This window comes from Homo sapiens, chromosome 10, assembly GCF_000001405.40.
Source record: "Homo sapiens chromosome 10, GRCh38.p14 Primary Assembly".
In the NCBI taxonomy this organism is placed as follows: Eukaryota; Metazoa; Chordata; class Mammalia; order Primates; family Hominidae; genus Homo; species Homo sapiens.
In genome coordinates, this window is record NC_000010.11 from 88,126,632 (window position 1) to 88,146,753 (window position 20,122).

The 20,122-nt window shown below is 38.0% G+C and overlaps 1 long non-coding RNA gene across 1 annotated transcript in view; it reads left to right on the top strand.

Annotated features, from left to right (window-relative positions):
* The first annotated feature begins 5,480 nt into the window (after nucleotides 1–5,480).
* Nucleotides 5,481–20,122, top strand: part of LOC101929727 (uncharacterized) — a 248,010-nt gene continuing 233,368 nt past the window's right edge. Inside the window, exon 1 of the long non-coding RNA XR_001747537.3 lies at nucleotides 5,481–5,922. This is a non-coding gene — a long non-coding RNA (uncharacterized LOC101929727). The remainder of the gene's footprint in view (nucleotides 5,923–20,122) is intronic.

The following is a 20,122-nucleotide window of genomic DNA, read 5'->3' on the forward strand; positions in this document are numbered from 1 at the left end:
AACATTTTCTGGCTCTAATTTGGTTTCACCATCATGGTTTTAAACGGGCTATGCTAATTGATACTCTCTTTACCAGCACTAAATAACCAGGAGAATTTATTTCTTTGCACTCTCTCTCTTTCTCTTTCTCTCTCTTTTGGAAAAGGACCTTCTTTCTGTGTGTACCATTTGCTAAATTCACCTGATAATCTGTGTAAAGGCTGAACTACTCATTACATCTTAGGCATGACATGTAAAAAAGAAAACCACATAGAAATTGAGACTGTTAGTCAGGGATGGAGTCTTTGGAGAATGAAGGTGTTAGGGCCATGAGTTAAAGTAAAACTAAATTTAAATCACTGACGTTGTTGATGCAATTCTGCCAGGCTACCCTTCTCTATACATTGTTGTCAGAATTAAATTTTTTTTCCATAAGAACAATAGTGCTTTAAAAAATACTTTTTTGGGTGCTATTTCAGAGTCTTTTGTCCATCAAGAGAATCCAATATGGAAAGGCACTGGCCTTCAATATAATAAAAATTTATCTAAATAGAATGTGGCATTAATGCCTTTCTCTGAAATACTGTCAAAATAAAGATGACATTTAAACACCCTTGCTACTGCTGCACATAAAAAGAGAATTACCTCTCATTCTGTGGAGCCCTACAAGTGCTAACAATATTTACAACAGCAGTAGCAGTTATTTTAGCTGGATTTGTGTTTGCCTTTAGCAGGAAAAGTTGGGACCAGGAAGGTTTCAGCTGAAGGAGATTGTTTTGGCCAACGTTAGACAAGTAGGATGGGATATTATATAGTATGTTGGTTTCAAAATGATTGGTTTGAGACTTGAATGTTGAAATCCATCATTTCCTCTTTGAGATTTCTCTGCATGGGAGACTTTAAAGGAGGAGAAAGTATGCTATATAGGAAGTTAGGAGAACTGGAATCTAGTCTCTACTCTGCCCCTAATTAATTATTCTATTAATTATCTACAAGGTCCTGGATAAGTAACTTTTTGAGTCTTCTCATAAAGGCCACGTGGAATTACTGGTCTGAAAGTAACCTGAGATGGTTAGCACTTGCATAGCAAAGAACATTCACCTCTTCCTGTGGGTTGTCTAAACTACTGGCTAAACACATTGCCAATGCCTGGCACTGCCAATGCCAGGCAAGCTTGTCCAGGAGGCTGTGGGATTCAGTAATGGTAATGCTCATTGAGAGGTAGTGTGGAGCAGTAGAAAGAGGAGAGTGTGGACATCAGAATGCTTGAGTCTTGGCCTGGCTTCCCCTTCCTTGTTATTGGGACTTGAGCATTTTAAATACCTTCCCTGGTTTATCCAAAAGTATCCTCAGCTGTCAAATGAGTTAGCTGGTTTTGTGGTCTCCAGGAATTCCTTTGAGCTTGGGCATTTGGTGGTTCTATGATTTCTTTCTGAGAAAGTTCAGCCTTTACCTTTGTTTCTACACGGAACTTTCATGGCCTCAAATGGACCAACTCCTAGAACCAATTCCCAAAGAACTCCCTGTTGAGTTGAGGGGACTCCCCTGTGCTGTGTAGATCATACTTTTGAAGTGTGCTTGTGATGGCATATGTTATCATGTATTGTCAAGTGGAAGGTATTTTTAGAAACACAGGAAGAAAAAGACAACATTCATATTTCATTCAAGTTTTATAAGTGGTCAAATTACTGAAGGGCTTAGAGAACTAGGGATAATTACGTAGTGGTAGAATGACTGTTGGTGAAATGAACAGATATCAATAGGGTATTTAAAGATTAGGAAATTGGAACTGAGGAAAATTAGCTGGTGGCCCTAGTAGAGGACCTATGTCATTGATTTTGTTGAAAATGGATGCTGGTTGATTTTTAGCTCAGTAAGACAGACTTCACAATAGAGACTTCAATTAATGTCTCCCTACTGACAGGGTACAGGATACAGGAGACTTAGCATCATGTGAACATCTATTACTTTTTAGACATCATATTCAGCATTTGACAAGATACTTTGTCTTAGAGGGCGTGTGCACCTTATAAATAATGTCATTTTCCCGAGGCAAACAAGTGCCTCCTGATGCATGAACTGTTCACATAAGTAGATGCTTAGTGCTTGCCGGTTGCATGATTGCATCAATATAGTGAAAACTCTTCTTTCATTGTGTTCTTCATTTTCAATACAATTTCTTTTGTCATGCGATTAGATTTTATCCAAGTCTCAGGGTAGTTTTGGAAAGGAAATGTCTGGGGCTTTTTAACCAGCTTTGCTTTGGGAGGGTGAGAGTTGAAGAAGGGTGGGGAAGTGAGGAGGGGTCATTGTGTCCCAGCTAGATCCTTCTCTCTGAAGGTGATTTAGATGCAGAATTAATTGGACCTTTGAAGCATAGTCAGTACATCTTCTTCTCTTGTTTTCTACCCTCTGTCTCCATAAAACCAGCTCACTAATATGGGGCTTGAGCTTCAAGGTTTAAGGCCTTATGTTGAATTTGTAAACATTCCATCTTGAAGCTGTGCTGGGTTGAAAGAGCTCAGCTCAATGAAGAGAACCACTTCCAAATAGCTTTTCTGGGTTCTCATGACAGCCACCCACTTGGTTGTGCAATGTGGGAGGAGTTTGTTTTCATACACTGAGCCTCCTCTATAAGCTCAGGTGGCGTGTCACATTACTCCTTGGCCAAGGCACTATGTTCTTCTCATGATTAGTAAAGCCAAATTGTAACAATAGGAAGCTTAGATAATGCACTTTTTGTACCCATGGTTTATCTTTCTGAAGGCGGTTAGCAGTTAGGGAATCCCTAAGATTCCCCAATATTCTCTCTAGGCATAAGTCAGTTGCTGATTTAGAGGAATGAGGATAACATACTAAAGCGTCTTCAAAATATTACTACAGAGAACAATCAAAGCCTTTCATTAATGCACAAGCATTTATTTTCTGAGCACCTAAAATATGTCAAGCATGGGAATAACTGCAAAGCAAAGACATGGACTCTTACTTCAAAACACTCTCTCTCTCTGGTGGGGCAGATTACTGAGCAAACAGAAATTTCAATAGTGTAATGGGAGCAGTAAAAGACTACCCTTACTCAAAGGGATCAGGGCAGGCCATCCAGAGGAAGTCAGAGTTGAGCACCTCTGCAGGAACCTGTTGGTATCAACTTGAGGGGGCAACATATGCAAAATCACAGCCATAAAAAGTATGTAATTTTATAGGAACCACGAGTATGGGATGGCTAAAATACAGGTTATTTATATATATTTTGGAGTAAGGGAGAATGCATAAGTGGTGAGAGATGAAGTTGGAGAGGGAAACAGAGATAGAGCCATGAAGCCTCTGCCTTATGTATCATTTTAGGAGTTTGGCCTTTTTCCTTTACTGATAACATAGGGAAGCATGCAAAGATTTTAAGCGTGAAAATGACATTCACTTAGTAATTCAACAAATAGCACCCAGTACCTACCATGTGCCAGTTGTGGTTTTAGGGACTGAGGTTACAGCAATAGACAAGACCACTAGGTTCATGTCGGACATGATCTGATGTACATTTTAGAAGGAAGCTATGTGGCAGCAATATGGCGCTTAGATTGGGCTCAGGGACTGAGCGAGAAATGAGGATTTTAACTTCTTATTTTCTACATGCATTGAGACCATCTGGGATGTGTTGATCACAATTTTCAGTAGTCCCCAGAGAAGAACAGTAGCTTATTTGTGGTACTTAAAAAAATTGGAAACACCAGACCTGGGTAAGTACTAATGAGAAGCCTGATAAATCAGTAAGGTTGAACATTTATAGAAATAGAAGGCATAGGCTGGGCGTGGTGGCTCACGCCTGTAATCCCAGCACTTTGGGAGGCCGAGATGGGTGGATCACGAGATTGAGACCATCCTGGCCAACATGGTGAAACCCCATCTCTACTAAAAATACAATAATTAGCCAGGTGTGGTGGTGCACTCCTGTAATCCCAGCTACTTGGCAGGCTGAGGCAGGAGAATTACTTGAACCCAGGAGGCGGAGGTTGCAGTGAGCCGAGCAGGCGCCACTGCACTCCAGCCTGGCAACAGAGCAAGATTCCATCACACATACACACACGCGCACACACACACACACGAAAGAAATAGAAGGCATAATTTGTAGGTAGTAGGTTCCTAAAAAAAAAAAAACACATGAAAGATAGAGGAAATTGTGCAGTTTGGGAAGTAATCCTAGGACACACCTGTGGGGTAGTAGGAAAATTGGATAGGGATGGGGTGTGTTATACAACCAGTTACCACTATAGACAATGGAGTCTGATCTTACTAGGAATTTCTGGGAAATAGTGGAGAACACTCCTTAGAATTATCTCAACTAAGCAGCTAGGAAGCTGGGGTATTTATACACCAACTCATCATCTATCAGTGGTTAAAGCCTGTTTCTGAGGGCCTCAACAATGAAATTGGTTTGTGTGCAGAAAAACTGTACTCCTAAAGCCAGAGAGTCCCAGGCAGTTGTGGGAAGCCCCATCAGTGTACTGAGGTGAGAGCTGAGGGGATGTGGGTGGAGTGGTAATGGCATCTGCCACAGGATTTAATAATTCTTGGGTGCTTTTCTTTTGCTCATTCATAGGTACTGGACTCTCTATAATTGTACTAATATGTAAAAAACAACAATCCTAAAAATTGGGTTAGGTTAGTGGTTCTCCGCTGGGGGTGACTTACTACTCCCTCCCTCAAGGGGAATATTAGCCACTATCAGGAATCATTTATTTGGTTGTCACCACTGGGAGAGGGAGAGTGCTACTGGCATCTAGTGGGTAGGCCAGAGATGCTGCTAAATATTTTATAATGCACAGGACAGTTCCTCCCACCCCCACAAAAACATATCTAGTCCAAAATGTCAATAGTGCTGAGGTTGAGAAACTCTGGGCTAGATTAATGGTATTTCACAAATAACAACTCCAAGGTTAAGACAAGTTGAATAACTTCCTTGGGTTTCTAAACCCAGTGAATGGCCCAGCCAGGATTTGAATTGAGGTTTATCTGCTCCTAAAGCCTGTGCTTTTTGATTTATGTTGGTCTGCCTTCCAGAGAAGGAGAAAAAACCTGAATCTCAGAGACTCACTGAAAAAGCCCCAGCATTAGTACCGGTCATGGCTCCTGGGCCAGGACTTCAAAGGAGCCTGGAACTGGCTGTAACTGGAAGGAGGTGGGGGAATGAACACCTTTTCCATTTTTCCCTGGCCTCTCTCTCTCCTGGGCAAGTTGGGGCAGGCTGAGTGGGCACAGGTCCTGGATCTGCATACCAGGGCTGGCGAGGTGCCTTTCGCTGGAAGTCCTGACTCCTTCTCAATGCACAAGGACGCCCTTCTGCTGCCAAAGCTGGCTGGTGGTTCTTTCTGGAATGGCAGCTTTCCCCATCCCCCTTCAGGCTTGGGTCGATCTTCTGGCAGGCAAACGTACTAAAGAGTTACAGGTGGTGCAGATACGGTTTGGAAGGAATCCCAGCTGGGCCTCCTCCCAGAAGCCTTCTGATCACTCACCAGATAACTCTAGCTGCTTGCAGAGTCCTGGGAATCTTAGCTTCTCCAGGAAACCAGCTTCAAGGGCAACAAGAGGTTCTGAGGAGCTAGAATAATCTCGGAAGCTGAAACTGCTTTGTCCTTTTGCTTCCTTAGGTTGGAAATATTTTTGCAATACCACTGAATCCTCCAGTTTTTACCCCTTACGATGGGAAGTGAATACAGTATGAAAAGGGAGTGGGACATATGAGAGGAACGACAGGCTCAAAATATGAAGACTTAATCCAGACACCTCTGTGTCTCTGAACTTGCGTTGTTTCTTCTTTGGAGGTGAAGTACACATCGTTTTACTCCGGGCAGAGGACTTGTGCTCCTTTTGAGAACTTTCAGCTCTGTAGTGTCGAGTCTTCTGGTTTCCAGATCCACATCCTGCCCTGGGGGAATTGACATCCATCAGGTATACTGTTCTTGGTCTGTTTAATCAAACTTTCATGATGTCGGTTGGAATTTCACATGTGGAACAAGTATAGAAAAATTAAGTGATTCCAGCAGCTTAAGTCCAAAGGGATGCATTAACCTTTGATATCAAATACATTAAAACATAGTACATCTCAATAATCTGTTTTCGGAGGCACTGAGTAGTAGCTGGTTCACTTGTTCATTCATTACTTCACTTTTTTTCACTCATTCCACAAGCAATAATTGAGTACCTGCCAGGTGCTGTGGAGGATATTAAGGTAAATATGATAAAGCTCTTGCCCTTAAGGAGCTTAACATCTAATGGGAAAAGAGATCAATAGCTATCTCAGGTGGCAGGATATAAATATTACAAGAGAAATATGAAAAAGTGTAGTGATGCTATTTTGTTTTAGGCTATGAAATAGTCCTGGCATGGTGATGAGGCAGAAAATGTGGGCTATATTTTTAAGAAAATAGATACTGGAGAGGAAGAGAAAAATGGTCTTCAGTCTGAGGGATAGGTAAGGTTTGAGGATTATATATCAGTCAAGTACGCTTGGTTCCCAAATAATGTAAGTTTTCTTAAAAACTTCTTGTCCTCCAATTATTATCTCTGTTAAAGCAACAAACTTAGTGTATTAAATGTCAATACTACGCAAAATATGGCTTATGGACCCCTGCTGGTCTGCAAATTGTTAATATTCCATGATGAGAAAAGTATAGAAATTGATGATTTAGTAAGTTACGGCAATTTGACAATAATTTTGTTTGTTGACTCTAATAACTACAAAAAATTGGGGCTTATATTTTGTATATCTTTAGATAATTTTATTTTTCTAATCGTTTATTTTTATTGTGTTTTCCAAAAATAACAGTCTGTGACACATTGGAAATGAAAAAAGTGATTCCTTACCATAGATGATTTGAGAAGCACTGTATAAATGATTGCCTACATCTGTCTTCCTACTAAAATATAAGTTTCTCCAGGGCAGGAGCTGTATTTTTCATGTCTGTATTTCAGTCCCAAGCTTATGAGTAGGTGCTTCTTAATGATTTGTTGAATTGAATGAAAATATAAATGGGATTTCAGTCAACTGTAAGTAAATTATTTTCAGTTTTTGGAAAGCCCATTTGTATTTTTCAGCTTGAATTAGCTCTTGGATTCATACATTCATCCATGATGAAAGCAGTACTTGATTTTATTGTTCTAGTAATACTTTCAGACATCACAGTTGTAAGTCTGAGTTGCAATATTCTGTTCTTTTGTGACTGTGTACTTATTCACCTTATTAATGTCCTCATGAGTCTAAGAATTGAAGCCTTACTACCCTTATTCTTTTTCCATCACCCTCCAAATTCAGTATATTGGAACTTTTCCAGTTTTATATTTTTCTTAAAGTATAGAAGCAGGTCCTTTATAAGTTATTGCCTTTCACATAATGCCCATGGTTTTGCTGCCATTTTATTTACATATTCATTCACATATTCATTCACATATTCATTCATTCATTTACCACTTATTCCCAAACACTTATTAAGTACCTGTATGAGCTTGGCACTTTACTCGCACTGGAGATATAAAGAATAATAATATCCCTACCCTCAAGGAGTTTATAGTCTACTAGGGGAGTTAGGGATACAAATACAAAAATACAATAAGACATTACAGGTATTAGAATGGATATATACATGAGAAACAGAGAAGGCACAATATCCAGAGTAGTCAGTTCTCTGTTGTAGGCCAGGAGATGCTTCAGAGAACAGCTTCATGTTTCTTAAATTCAGGTGGAAATGTTAGTGACTATTTGCCAAGGAGACAGCATTGCTGGCAAAGAGCTGGCATAGGATGGCTGTTGAAAGAACTCCACCATCACCATCACCATCAACATCATGATAATCACAACTACCACAACCATGGCCACCACCATCATTATGGCCATCACCATCATTATAACCACCACTACCACTACTATCGCCATCACCATCACCATCATAATATGACCACCTCACCACCACCACTACAAAGACCATCATTATAACCACCACTACTACTACTATCACCATCATCACCATCATCGTATGACCACCTCACCGCCACTGTCACCAACACCAACGTTTACTAACATTCATCAGTTGCTTCGTATGCTTAGGCATAGTGCTGAGGAAGGACCTCATTTGGATTATCTCACGTAATCTTGCAACCTATGAAGCAGGCACTCTTAGCATTCCCAATTTATAAGTGAAGAAACAGAGGGATGGCATGGTTAAATAATTGGCGCCACTTCATGCATCTAACAAGTGACAGGATTCAAACTCAGGTTTGCTTGATTTCAACTAAGCTTTTAAGTGGGTCTCTTGCAAGTCTGAAACATTTAGCCTGATGTTTAACTTTATCATTTTGATAGGTATTTTACTGCCCAGAAGCTCTTTGTGTTATTGGCAGGCATTTTAGGATTTGATTTTTTAAGTCATCTATTCAAATGTTAAACAAGATTATTCAAAGAACAAATCTCTGGGGAACCCCAAAGTGAGCAATTTTTGACACAGTGAAGTATATGATTATCCCAATCTGTTGTGTCCTGTTTTAAAATACATTTCAAAGCCTTGAGATAGTCAGTTCTCTGATGCTATGTGACCCAATGTGGCCACAGGTATGAAATCTTATCACGGTTTTTTGAAAGTCTGAAATATTGTACATTACTAGTTATGCCTTATTCACATCCTCACTTATAGCAAACATTAATCAGGGGGTAGAGATGAGGATTGTGTTCTTCAATGATTAGTAAGTACCAAAAACTACGCTCAGCACAATCTACATTATTTTGATTTTCTCAGCCAAAATCTCCATTTTTCAGATGAAAATACTGAGACCCAGACTGATGAGGTACCTTGCTGTAGGTCCTGCTATTAGTAAGTATAGAAGCCGGGACTTGATCACTGCTCGAGATCTCTGCAGAGCCTGCAATTTTATACCACGACTCAGAAATGGGAGTAAAAATAGAAAATAGGGAATTTAGGGAAAATGTCAACTTCCCAAATGGCTCTATCTTTCAGAAGTGCTTACTTTATTTGGGCCTAATTTTCAAAAGCCTGTAGAAACAAGGCAGAGAAAATACACAGAATCATTGCCTGTGCTCATGAGTCTCTGAGCTACTTGGGGTGTGCTGGCTACCATCCCTATGGTTTCATAATGCACTTTCCCTCTCTCACCCCACATTCAGACACTGCTCCAAACAAGACAACCTGTCTGTTTTCCTGCCACAAATGGGTAAAGTTGTCGACTTACTCTATCTTGACAATTATTGTTTTGAAAGAAACTTCTAAAAGTTTAATCACAGAGAATGCTTAGTCACTGGATACAATTTCAAAGAGAATTTGGAAACAAAATAAATAGTCTTGCCTTTTCTACCCCATAAGGTGTTGTGGGGCCCAATAGGATACGTTAATTTTTGAAAATGATATGCCTTTATTCAAATAAATGTAGGAGGTGTTACCGGGTCTTGACTTTTGTACCTTATAAGCAAGGCCATCTTGCTGCAGTTGCTCTGAAAGAAGATAAATGAAGTTCAGCCAGAGATGCTGCAGGAGAGGAATGTATGGTGGGTGTGTTATTGATGAGATATGATGGTTTTCTAGTTCTGTGACCTATAATTTTCTTATAACTCTGTGCCTCAGTTTCTCTATTTGAAAGATGGAGATATTAATAGAAACTGTCCCTAGGGTTACTGAAACTATTAAGTATGCTAATACGTATAAAGGGCTTCACACAGGAACTACCTCAGAGCTGCCACAGCAGAAATGTTAGCTCTTTTATTGTTATTCTCCATCACTGCCTTGATCCACCTGCCTGAAAATCTCATCTACCCAGAACAGTGAGCCTCAAGTTGTCAACTGCCCTTTAGCACAACTTCTGATAGAAGGCTAGAAGGCTAGAAGGCTGCCTGGTTGCTGACCAAGGATTTTCTTTTGCCTCTTAAAATGCTATCATTTTCTCTGTGTAAACCATAAACACATTAACAGAAAACAGGGCCTCGTTCACTAGGCTGCCATGAGCCTAGCTCCCAGCAGCAGCAGTTCCTGATATAACAAAGTGGTTTCACCTTACTTAGGTAGAAAAGATTATGTTGATTTCCTAAGTAGAAAACTCCAAAATATTGGCCAGAGTGCTATTCCTCTCATCACTTATGTCTTCAGGTCTTTCTGAGGGAGAAAAAAAAAAAAAAAAAAACTTGAAAAGAAAAAAACTCAATGTTTCTTTTTCCGCCAGATTGCTTCTTTAATTGGTGGGTCTGAGTGTGGCCCCATTTACCCAGTGGCTGTGCTAAGGTTTAACGACTAGACCAGTGGTTTGCACTAGCACTTGTCCTAGTTATTTGACACTTTTTGCTGTAGGTCAAAGTGAGTAGACATTCTGGTTTTGCAGGGACTGTCCCCAGTGAATTGGCTCAAAGTGTTTCTTTTTAGCCACTTTATGATGTACTGTGGCCCTTTAATTCCCACCTAGCCCCACTCAGACTGCAGACATGAAGTGATTGCTTTTATAAAATGTTAATTGGAAGGATTAAACAATCATCTGCTTTTTTCCTTTCTTTTTTTTTTTTATATGGAGGCTGAAATAAAAACCGAGGAGGTACAGGGTTGCTGGTAATTGCAACCTAAAAAGGCTGGGGATTCTGAAAAACCATACTACAACATAATTTCTATAGGAGGAGGGGGCACAGCTTTGGTCAAGCCTGTTTGGAGAAGCAAGAGAGTGACTTATTAGAGCATGTTGAAAGTTAAGAACCTGGGGAAACAAACTACCAAGCCAGTGTTAAAAAGGAAGTTAACCCGATGAAGGCACTCAAAGCAGGGCAAAGAAAGTGGCTAGTGGAATATAAAGTTCCAGCCTTGACCCTTACTACATAGTTTTAAATAAACACCATGAATACACCTTTGTTGATAATTATTTTCCATTTGACTTCCTACATTTTGAATGTAATATTAGCCAATGGAATACTAGTATTCTAGGGTTAGAAGAATCATTGGAAGCCATCTAGTCCTACTCCCTGTTGAGAATATTTTGAGGGCATTTGTGTAGGCCAGGCTGTAGCTGTATCTCATCCATGTTTGTTATAATGAGATCTGGGAATTTACACTGGAAACTCTTTGTTCATTTGCAAAATTTAAATTGTTCTTGATTAGGTTGCTTCCCAGAGCACTTTTATATAATTAGAATAAAATAAATTGTGGTGGGGAAAGGTGCTTATACATCATCATTGGATTACCCATCTGCCTTTGAGATGTGGCTGTGTAAATGGTTCAGCTGTGGGCCACTTGCCATGTTGGAAACTGGTGTATTGTAGTGTGTGGGGGGTGGGTGGGGGTAGGTGCCTGGCTTAGTTTAGATATTCATGATCAGTAGAAGTTCACAAAATGTGGAATTAACTGGTAATCATTGTGTAACTTGTGATACGCTTTCTTGGGCTGGACTTCTGGGATTTCATATGGCAGGAAGAAAGAATCACAGCCTAATAACAGTAACAATAATATTCTTATATGGCAGCAAATTTTACTGAGTGCATACTGTTCTCTCTATATGTGTGTGTATGTGTGTATGTATGTGTGTGTATGCATATACACACACACATATATACATATACTGTGTATAAATATATGCATATAATTACGCATTTAATCCTTTATGACATTTCATCTTTATAACATCCTTTAAGGTAGAAACTATTATTATTCTCATTTTACAGATGAGAAAATTGAGGTATGGAAAGATTAAATGATTGGACAAGGTTATTCAAGCCCAAGTTAGATGGGGTCATATTTTAAAAATGTAGTAAAGCCTCCATTCACAAGTAGATGAACTTGGACCACAAGGAGATAATGTGGTTTTCTCAATAGCAGAGGTGAAACTGGAACACAGATCTACTCCTTGTCAGCTTCACTTTCATATGTCACTCCCTCCACTCTCTGCTGGCTAAGTGTTAAGCAAGGTGATTTCTAAGATCTTTCAGTCTCTAAGCTGATATATTTCTGAGTCGAGCAAACATGAAATTTAAGTGTTGTCCTGGAAAATCCCCCTCTACTTAAACCTTTTCCTTTCAGGGGATAGGCGTGTCTTTCCAGAAATAGAGTTCAACAGCATCAAGCTACCATCATCCAATGGAAGTGATAGGAAAAAAATTACCTAGATGACTCATTTATCTTGTGAACCATGGACTCATAAAGAAGAAAACACATAGCAGGAACATACATATGTTATTACATGCTGAGATAGTAAGGTTAAAGAAAGTTAGAGAAGGTAAGTTTACAACAGAATGGAATAAACTATGCAGATAAGCTGGAAGTACTATAGAATTCTCCAACCATCTCTCCTTCAGTGCTAGGAGTCTGATAATTACATCAAAACCAGAATTATTTGCATGCCCAGACATCTTCATGGAGACTGCCCTGTTTGTCTTTTGTTAGTCTAGCTCAGTGGTCCTTACACTTAAACATGCCTAAAAATTATTGTATAGGGCTGTATATACACAGGATAATGTATGCTGTCATGTGTGGATAAAATAGGGGGCTTTGTGAAGGGTATTTTTGACTATATGAAATTTTCCCCTGTAAGTGCAGGCTTTAAAACCTAACAATTGGAGGAGATGTATGCCCACTTTAAATCTACATGTCAAACTTATTGGCTTGTGAATTCAGTAAAATTAATAGCAACAGGAATAGCAATCATTACCATGGAGAATCATTTAGTGGGGTATTTTGCTGTTGCATAGACGTCATCAGAGAGGACATAGGAATCTTAATAGCATCTGTCAGAGAATTCAAAGGTATTAGATTTAGGGCTTTAAAAGTTTATGATTTTCTATCCAGTCAACTGACCCAAATATTATCCTCAAACACTCTTGGATCATTGAACATATGTTACATCTTTCATGAAGACTTCTTTGACTTAATTGCTTCTTTTGTTTGTTCGTTTGTTTGTTTGTTTTGTGAGACAGAGTCTTGCTTTGTCACCCAGGCTGGAGTGCAGTGGCATGATCTCAGCTCACTGCAATCTCCGCCTCCCAGTTCAAGCGATTCTCGTGTCTCAGCCACCCCAGTAGCTGGAATTACAGGCATGCACCACCATGCCTGGCTAATTTTTGTATTTTTAGTAGAGATAGAGTTTTGCCATGTTGGCCAGGCTGGTCTCAAACTCCTGGCCTCAAGTGATTCGCCTACCTCAGCCTCCTAAACTACTGGCGTTACAGGCATGAGCTTCTGTGCCCAGCCTTAATTGCTTCTTTAGTGCTGCCCCTGCACTTAACACAGAAATCTGTAGAAGTGATTATTCTCATTGTATGTTAAGGGCTTATTTGTGGATGACTATCTTCTCAAGTATCTTCCAAGGTAGAACATGTGCCTTTTTAGTGTTATTACCTCAATTTTTAGTAGAGATGGCCAACTCGCATCATTTGCTCAATAATTATTTATTGATTGACTCGATTAATCCGAGTCACTATAGCATTCTACTTTCTGAGGAATGGGAGGACTACAATCAGGGCCTAAGCTTTTAGCATACACTCAGTTTGCATTGTGCTAAATTTTCTGTTAAAAAGATAACATCTGCCTGCCCCAATAGGAGCTGGAGATTTCAGGCATCCTGCTTTGACCAGTTGGTTTATACCTGAAAGGTCTCTCTGTAGAGCTTTGGCAAGAAAACCTGTTACTAAGAAGAGGTTACAATTTCTTTCTCTAATGTGAGTTGACATTAGGGTCTGATTTGGGCCAGGGTCTGCCTCTGGCCTATAGATCTCCCAGAAAGAACCCATGCATATTTTGTCCCTAAAGACTGAATTACCATCTCTTTCTCCCTGCAGAGCTAAGGGGGCATTCTGGGATGCAGGTGGTGCTCAGGAATTTTCAGCTTTTCTTGAGGATCTGAAATTGCAGTAGTATCCTTTAGGTTGCAGTGGGTAGGCAGATATCTTTACCTGTTGGCTCTGAAAAGCCAGATCATCTATCTGATGAATGACCTAAAGTCCCTTCTTTCATATATTCCCTTTTTAACATGGTGACACTTTTCTGGCTTAGAGAATAAATGAAAAAAAAAAAAACACAAAAGAAAATAAACAAAACCCAGGAATTCAGCAATGGAAGAGATCTTGGTGATTATAGGGTCTGGTAACTTTTTTCTTTTCTTTAACTTTTCAAAAATTGTAAAATATAACATACATACAGAAAAGTATATAAAACAGATACACAATAATGTGAATAATTATAAAGCCAACACCTATGTTTCACACTGAGGTTAAGAAATAGAATGCTGCCAGCATTTTAGAAGCTTCCTGTGTTTCCTTCAGGATGACAGCTTTCTCCCTTGACCCTGGAGGGAATCACCATCCTCAATTCAATACAATACAATTCAATACAATCATCTCTTTGATCTTCTATGTAATTTGACTATCAAATTGGCATCTCTAACATTTTCTTTATGTAAATAGGATCAAATTACATACGTTGTTTTTTCATCAATATATTTGTAAGATTCACTCATGTTATTGTGTGTGGCTGTCATTTGCTTTCATTTCTCTTTAGCTTTCCAGTTGGTAATGTACCACAATTTATATCTGCAGTTGTCTCTTTTTTGGTTATTTCAGCCTGCTGTGTAGAACATTCTTTACACTCATCCTGGTGTACATGTGTGCAAGTTTCTGTAGTCTAGGGCATAGACCCAAGGTGGACACGTTTATATTATCAAACTGTTCTCCAAAGTAAGTGTATCAGTTTTTACTCTAATCACATTCTGGGCAACACTTGGTTTTGGCAGACCTTTTAATCTTTTGCCATTCTTATGAATGTGTATGGTAGTGGTATTGGTATTCTGTGGTTTTGACTTTCATTTCCTTAATTATTAATGAGGTTGAGCACTTTTCCATATGTTTATTGACCATTTGGACTTAGTAACTGTGAAGCGTCTGTTTACGACTTTTTGCCCATTTGTATTTGGTTTTCTGTCTTTTAAAATTTGATTTTTAGATATTCTTTACCGATTCTGGGATTGTATGCTTTTCAGATAATTTCTATAATTCTGTAGCTTGGTCATTTCACTTGCAATGTGGTGTCTTATGGTAAACTGAAATTCTTAATTTTAATGCAGTCAAATGTATCAGTCTTTTTCAATATGAATATTACTTTATGCATCTTGTTCAAAAAATTATCCTCTACCCCAAGATCATGAAGACCTACTGTATTTTTTTCTAAAAGCTTTATAGTTTTGTCTTTCACATTTGGCTCCATAATCCCCCTGGAGTTGACTTTTACATACAGTTTGAGCTAGGAATTCATTGGCATTTTTCTTTTTCCATTATAATTTATTAAAAAACCCTCTTTCCCCCATTAATTTGCAGTGCCACTTCTCATAAACTAAATCCATATATGTATGTTTCTGTTTTTGAGTTCTACGGTTTTATTTATCTACCCTTGAGCCAATACCACAACGTCTGTTACTGTATCTTTAAAATAAGTTTTGGTATCTGGTATACATAATTCTCCCACCTTGATTTTCTTCTTCAAGATTGTCTTAAAGAAGATACTTATTTTCCTTTTGCACTTCCATAGAAATTTTAGAATCAGCCTGTCAAAATCCTCAACAACCTATTGAGTTTTGACTGGAATTACAATGACTTTTAAAACAATGGTGAATTGACATTTTTGTAACACTAAGTTTCCCCATCCATGAACATGGAATAGCTCTCTTCTTTAATGACTGTTAATAAGGATTTCCAGTTTTCTTCATAGTAGTCTCACATATCTTTTGCTAGATTTATTCCAAGGAACTTGATATTTTTGATGCTGTACTAAATAATGTGATTTAAAAATGTTATTTTCTAGATTTTTATCAAAGGACTATAATAATACAGTTGATTTCTATATATTGAGTTTGTATCCAACAAATATGCCAAACCCTGTTATCAATTTTAATAATTTAAATATAGTTTCTAAGGGGTTTTCTACATTAAAAATTGTATTACAGTTTTGTTTCTTTCCAAACTTTATAGCTCTAATTTCTTTTCTTTTCTTTTTTTTCTTTTCTTCATGTTGTGCTGATAAGGGCCTCCAGTTCAATGATTAATAGAAGTGAAAGCAAGCTTGCATCCTTGCCTTTTTTCTGATCTCAAATGTAAATATTTTAACATTTCACCATTAAGCAAGACATTTTTGATGTAGATTTTTGTAGCTATCCTTTCTTATGATAAGGAAGTTATCTCTATACCTAATGTGCAAAGAGGATTATATATAATTTTATCATGAATGTATATTAAATTTTGTTGAATGCTTCCTTTTGTCTGTGAGATGATCATATGATTCTTTGATCTGCTAATGAAGTAAATTACATTGATTTATTTTCTAATTTTAAACAAAACTTGAATTCTTGGGATAAAGCCAACTCGGTCATTACCTATTATCTTTTCTATGTATTGCTTTAGTTAACTAATGATTTTGCTCAAGATTGCTTTCCTTTTTCATACTGAATTGTTTTGCTGGCCTCATCACATGAATTGAGAATTGTCTCCTCTTCCTCTCATTTCCCCAGAACAGAGCATAAGATTAAAGTTTTTTTGTTGTTGTTTTTTCTTGACTGTTTGGGTCTAGATTTTTTTGTTTGTTTTTTGAATGTGAGACTTTTTTAGTACAATTCAATTTCTTTAATGCTTATGAGATATTCGGATGGTATATTTTTTCTTGTGTTAGTTTTAGTAAGTTATATATATTCACAAGACATTTTTCTATTACATCAAAAAGTTTAATTTATTGGTATAAAACTATTTATAGTATTACTTGATTATCTTTGCGATGTCTGCAAGATTTGTAGTAAGGCCTTATTTTTTCCATTTATGATATAATGGTATCTTTTTTCTTTTTAAAATATCAGCTTTATCAGTGTTTTATTAATTTTCTTAGTCTTTTCAAAGAACCAATCTTAAGTTTTGTTGATAGTCTCTTGAACTATTTGTTTCATATTTTATTGATTGCTGTTCCTATCTTTACTCTTTCCCTTCTTTATATTTCTTAGGGTTTTTCTGATATTCCTTTCTTAACTTTTTGAGAGATATGTTTATTTTATTGATTTTAAGCCTTTCTACTTTCTGAATACCATACTTCATGTATTATAAGACAAACATTTTACACATTTTAACATCTTTGAAACTGAGATGCATCTTGCAACTGATGGCATGTCGTGATTCAGTTGCAAGCATTTTCTTCTCATTGTAGTACATAAATTATTGGCACATCTTACAATAGATACTATCATAGATTCAATAAAAGGAAGTATATGCAGTTGAGGCTATTACTCTCCCTTCAAGTGGTGCTTTTGCTTGGTTTCCACAAGCATGTTTTGTTAGCCTCTTCTCTCTCAGTTCTATATTTTGGATAGTTTCTTTCGTTCTTTTTTTCAGTTACTCTTACTTTCTTCTGACATGTGTAATGTGATGTTAAACATGTTCGTGTAATTTTTATTATAAATTTTTCCAGTTTTAGAAGTTGGTTTTTTAAATGACAATGCCACTCATTACCATTTTCTATTCTCTGAAGTATTTTTAAATTTATCCTTATTTATTTAAATACAGTAAACAGTTGTTGTTTTATTGTCTGTGTCTGACAATTCCACTATCTGAAGTCTTTTTGGTTTGTTTCTATTCTCTGTAGTTTCTTCTGGCTTTCTCTCATGGAGTTTTCTTCCTTTGTGTGCCTGACTATCTTTGACTGTGCTTGTCTTTACAATTTAAAAACATTTTTAAAAACCCAAGAATAATATACATACATTAAAGTGAACAAAACTTTGAATTGAATATATCCAATTTCTTAAGACTTTCTTATGACCTTTCCTAGTCAATGCCATCATCCCCTTTCTGGTAACCACTATTCTTTCTTCACCATCGTGAATCTGTCCTGCTGTAGTAGAAACTATATGTCCAGATACAGTAGAAATTATTTGTAACAACAATTTGAGAATTGTGATTGGTATGAGGAAATCTTTCAGAAGGGATTTTATTTGTTTTTTGGGTATATAGGGAAATAACAAGTTCAAATTTGTTATTCCCTAGACCACGCAAAGGACATAAACCCAGGCTATAAATACATGGGAAGGCTACTTGACCTTCAGGGGCCCAGTTTCAGAGGAGGGTGACTTACTAGAGAACCCACCTTGGGCAGAATCTGCACTTTGACTTGCGTCACCCGCAAGTCCACAAAAACTGCAGTTCCGATTTGTAGCTTTTGCTTTATACTGGCAAATGCCCTTAGGACAGAGTAACTTTGAATGTTATCTCTTTGGGTACTGCCTTTTTCTAGATGTTGTCCCAGGAATTTCTTACTATTTATTGTTCTTTAATATTTCAAATAGACTGTTTTGTTTTGATGTTCTATCTAGTTTTAAACATTGCTCTCAGAAGGAGGTTTTTCTGTTGTAATGGTATTTATTTATGTTTTAAACTTTATTTCTTTTGAGCTGTGGAAATTTTTTCTGAATTTTAGGCAGATTTATGATATATAAAATCCATAAAAGGAGAGAGTCATGCTTAAAATTATGCAGATGTTAGTGGGCCATGCATTTCTCCTAGAAGCCATTTTCTTTCTGGGATTAGGGACTGCTTCCTAGTTTCTGTTTGTATCCTGAGAGGTCTACATTTGTTTGGTTTGTTGTACCCCACCCTCTATCTTAAGGATCTTAACCAGGCCCTCTGAGTGGTCCGGCTATATTACAAAATGAAAAATAAATTGCCCAAAAGAATCACAAATATGGTTTATTTAAATTGTCTAGCAAATTAATACTTGGATGAAAATGTTGTGTTCATTCCCCTTCTAAACATAAGGCCTGGATCTAACGCTCTCCACCTACCTTGATAGGTCCTCTCTTAACTTTTGATCACTTACAATATTCTTTTGCTGGTCAGAACCCTAGTCATTCCTCATTGCCTCCAGAAAGATGAATTTATATACCTTGCCAGGCATGTGGTCCTTTCCTCCCCTCTCCTTCCCTCCCCTTCTCCTTCCCTTTTACCTTCCTCCTTCCCTTTTTCCCTTCTTCCCTCCCTCCCTCTCTTCTTTCCTTCCTCCTATTCCTTCCTTTTAGTAAATTATTGATTTTTGCCATTAGTTTCAGAAACTAGTTGTGATTACTAATGTGTCCTAGCTCCCCTGAGGCTCTGCTGTAAAATAGCCAGTGAATGAGGATTTTTTAAAGGTGATGAGTTGGCCAGTGATGAGGGAGGGCGAAGAGTGGCCGGTGGGGTGGGGTGGGGGGACACAGAAAGCATACATGTCTTGACTCAGTGTGGTTGATGGCCAGAACCCATTTTCAATCCTATGAAATCAGAGGTAGATTTACCAGACATTCTTGCTTCATAAAGTAGGCATGCTCTGTGCTCTTTGCCTCTGGATTTGAGTGGAATCCAGGCGGGTGTGTAGGAATCTTTGGTAACCCATTAGAACATAATCTATTCATGTTTTTCTCCCTCCTAGCCCATTTAGGAGAAGAAAACCTTGGTTTATTTCTCTCTCAAGTGAGGAAGATAAAGAACAAAACAAATAAAACTAAACACACATCTGAATTCCAGTCACTAAAATGATGACTTGGAGTTTTGCAAACAGAACAAGTCTTTGCATGGACTTGAGATCTTGGCCATGGAATCAAGACTGAGGGGTAAGCTTTGTTTCCCCAGTCAACTCACATATACGTAGAGCAGCATTTCTCAACTCAGCTTTTTTATACCAGTACTCTACTAGCAAAGAAGTTATAGTCAAGTTATATTTTCAAAGTCTGCATTATGACAGCAATGCATTTCATTTTCTAAATATAACACTAGATTATAATATTGATTGTACTTTTTCAAAATACTCTTCATCCCCCACCCCACTCCTATATTGTCCCTTTCTATTCCTCACCCTCTGATTTGAGGATCACTGAACAACATCATTCAGCTGTCCTACTTATGGTGCTATGAATCTAGAGCCAATTCTGGCCAAGGGTCTCAGGGTATTCTCCAAAGGAAGTTCAACAACAATCTTTGCATGCAATATGAATTAAAGTAGGAGAATTTTTGTTTTGTTTTGAGACGGAGTCTTGCTCTGTTGCCAGACTGGAATAAAGTGGCATGATCTCGGCTCACTGCAACCTCCGCCTCCCAGGTTCAAGTGATTCTCCTGCCTCAGCCTCCCGA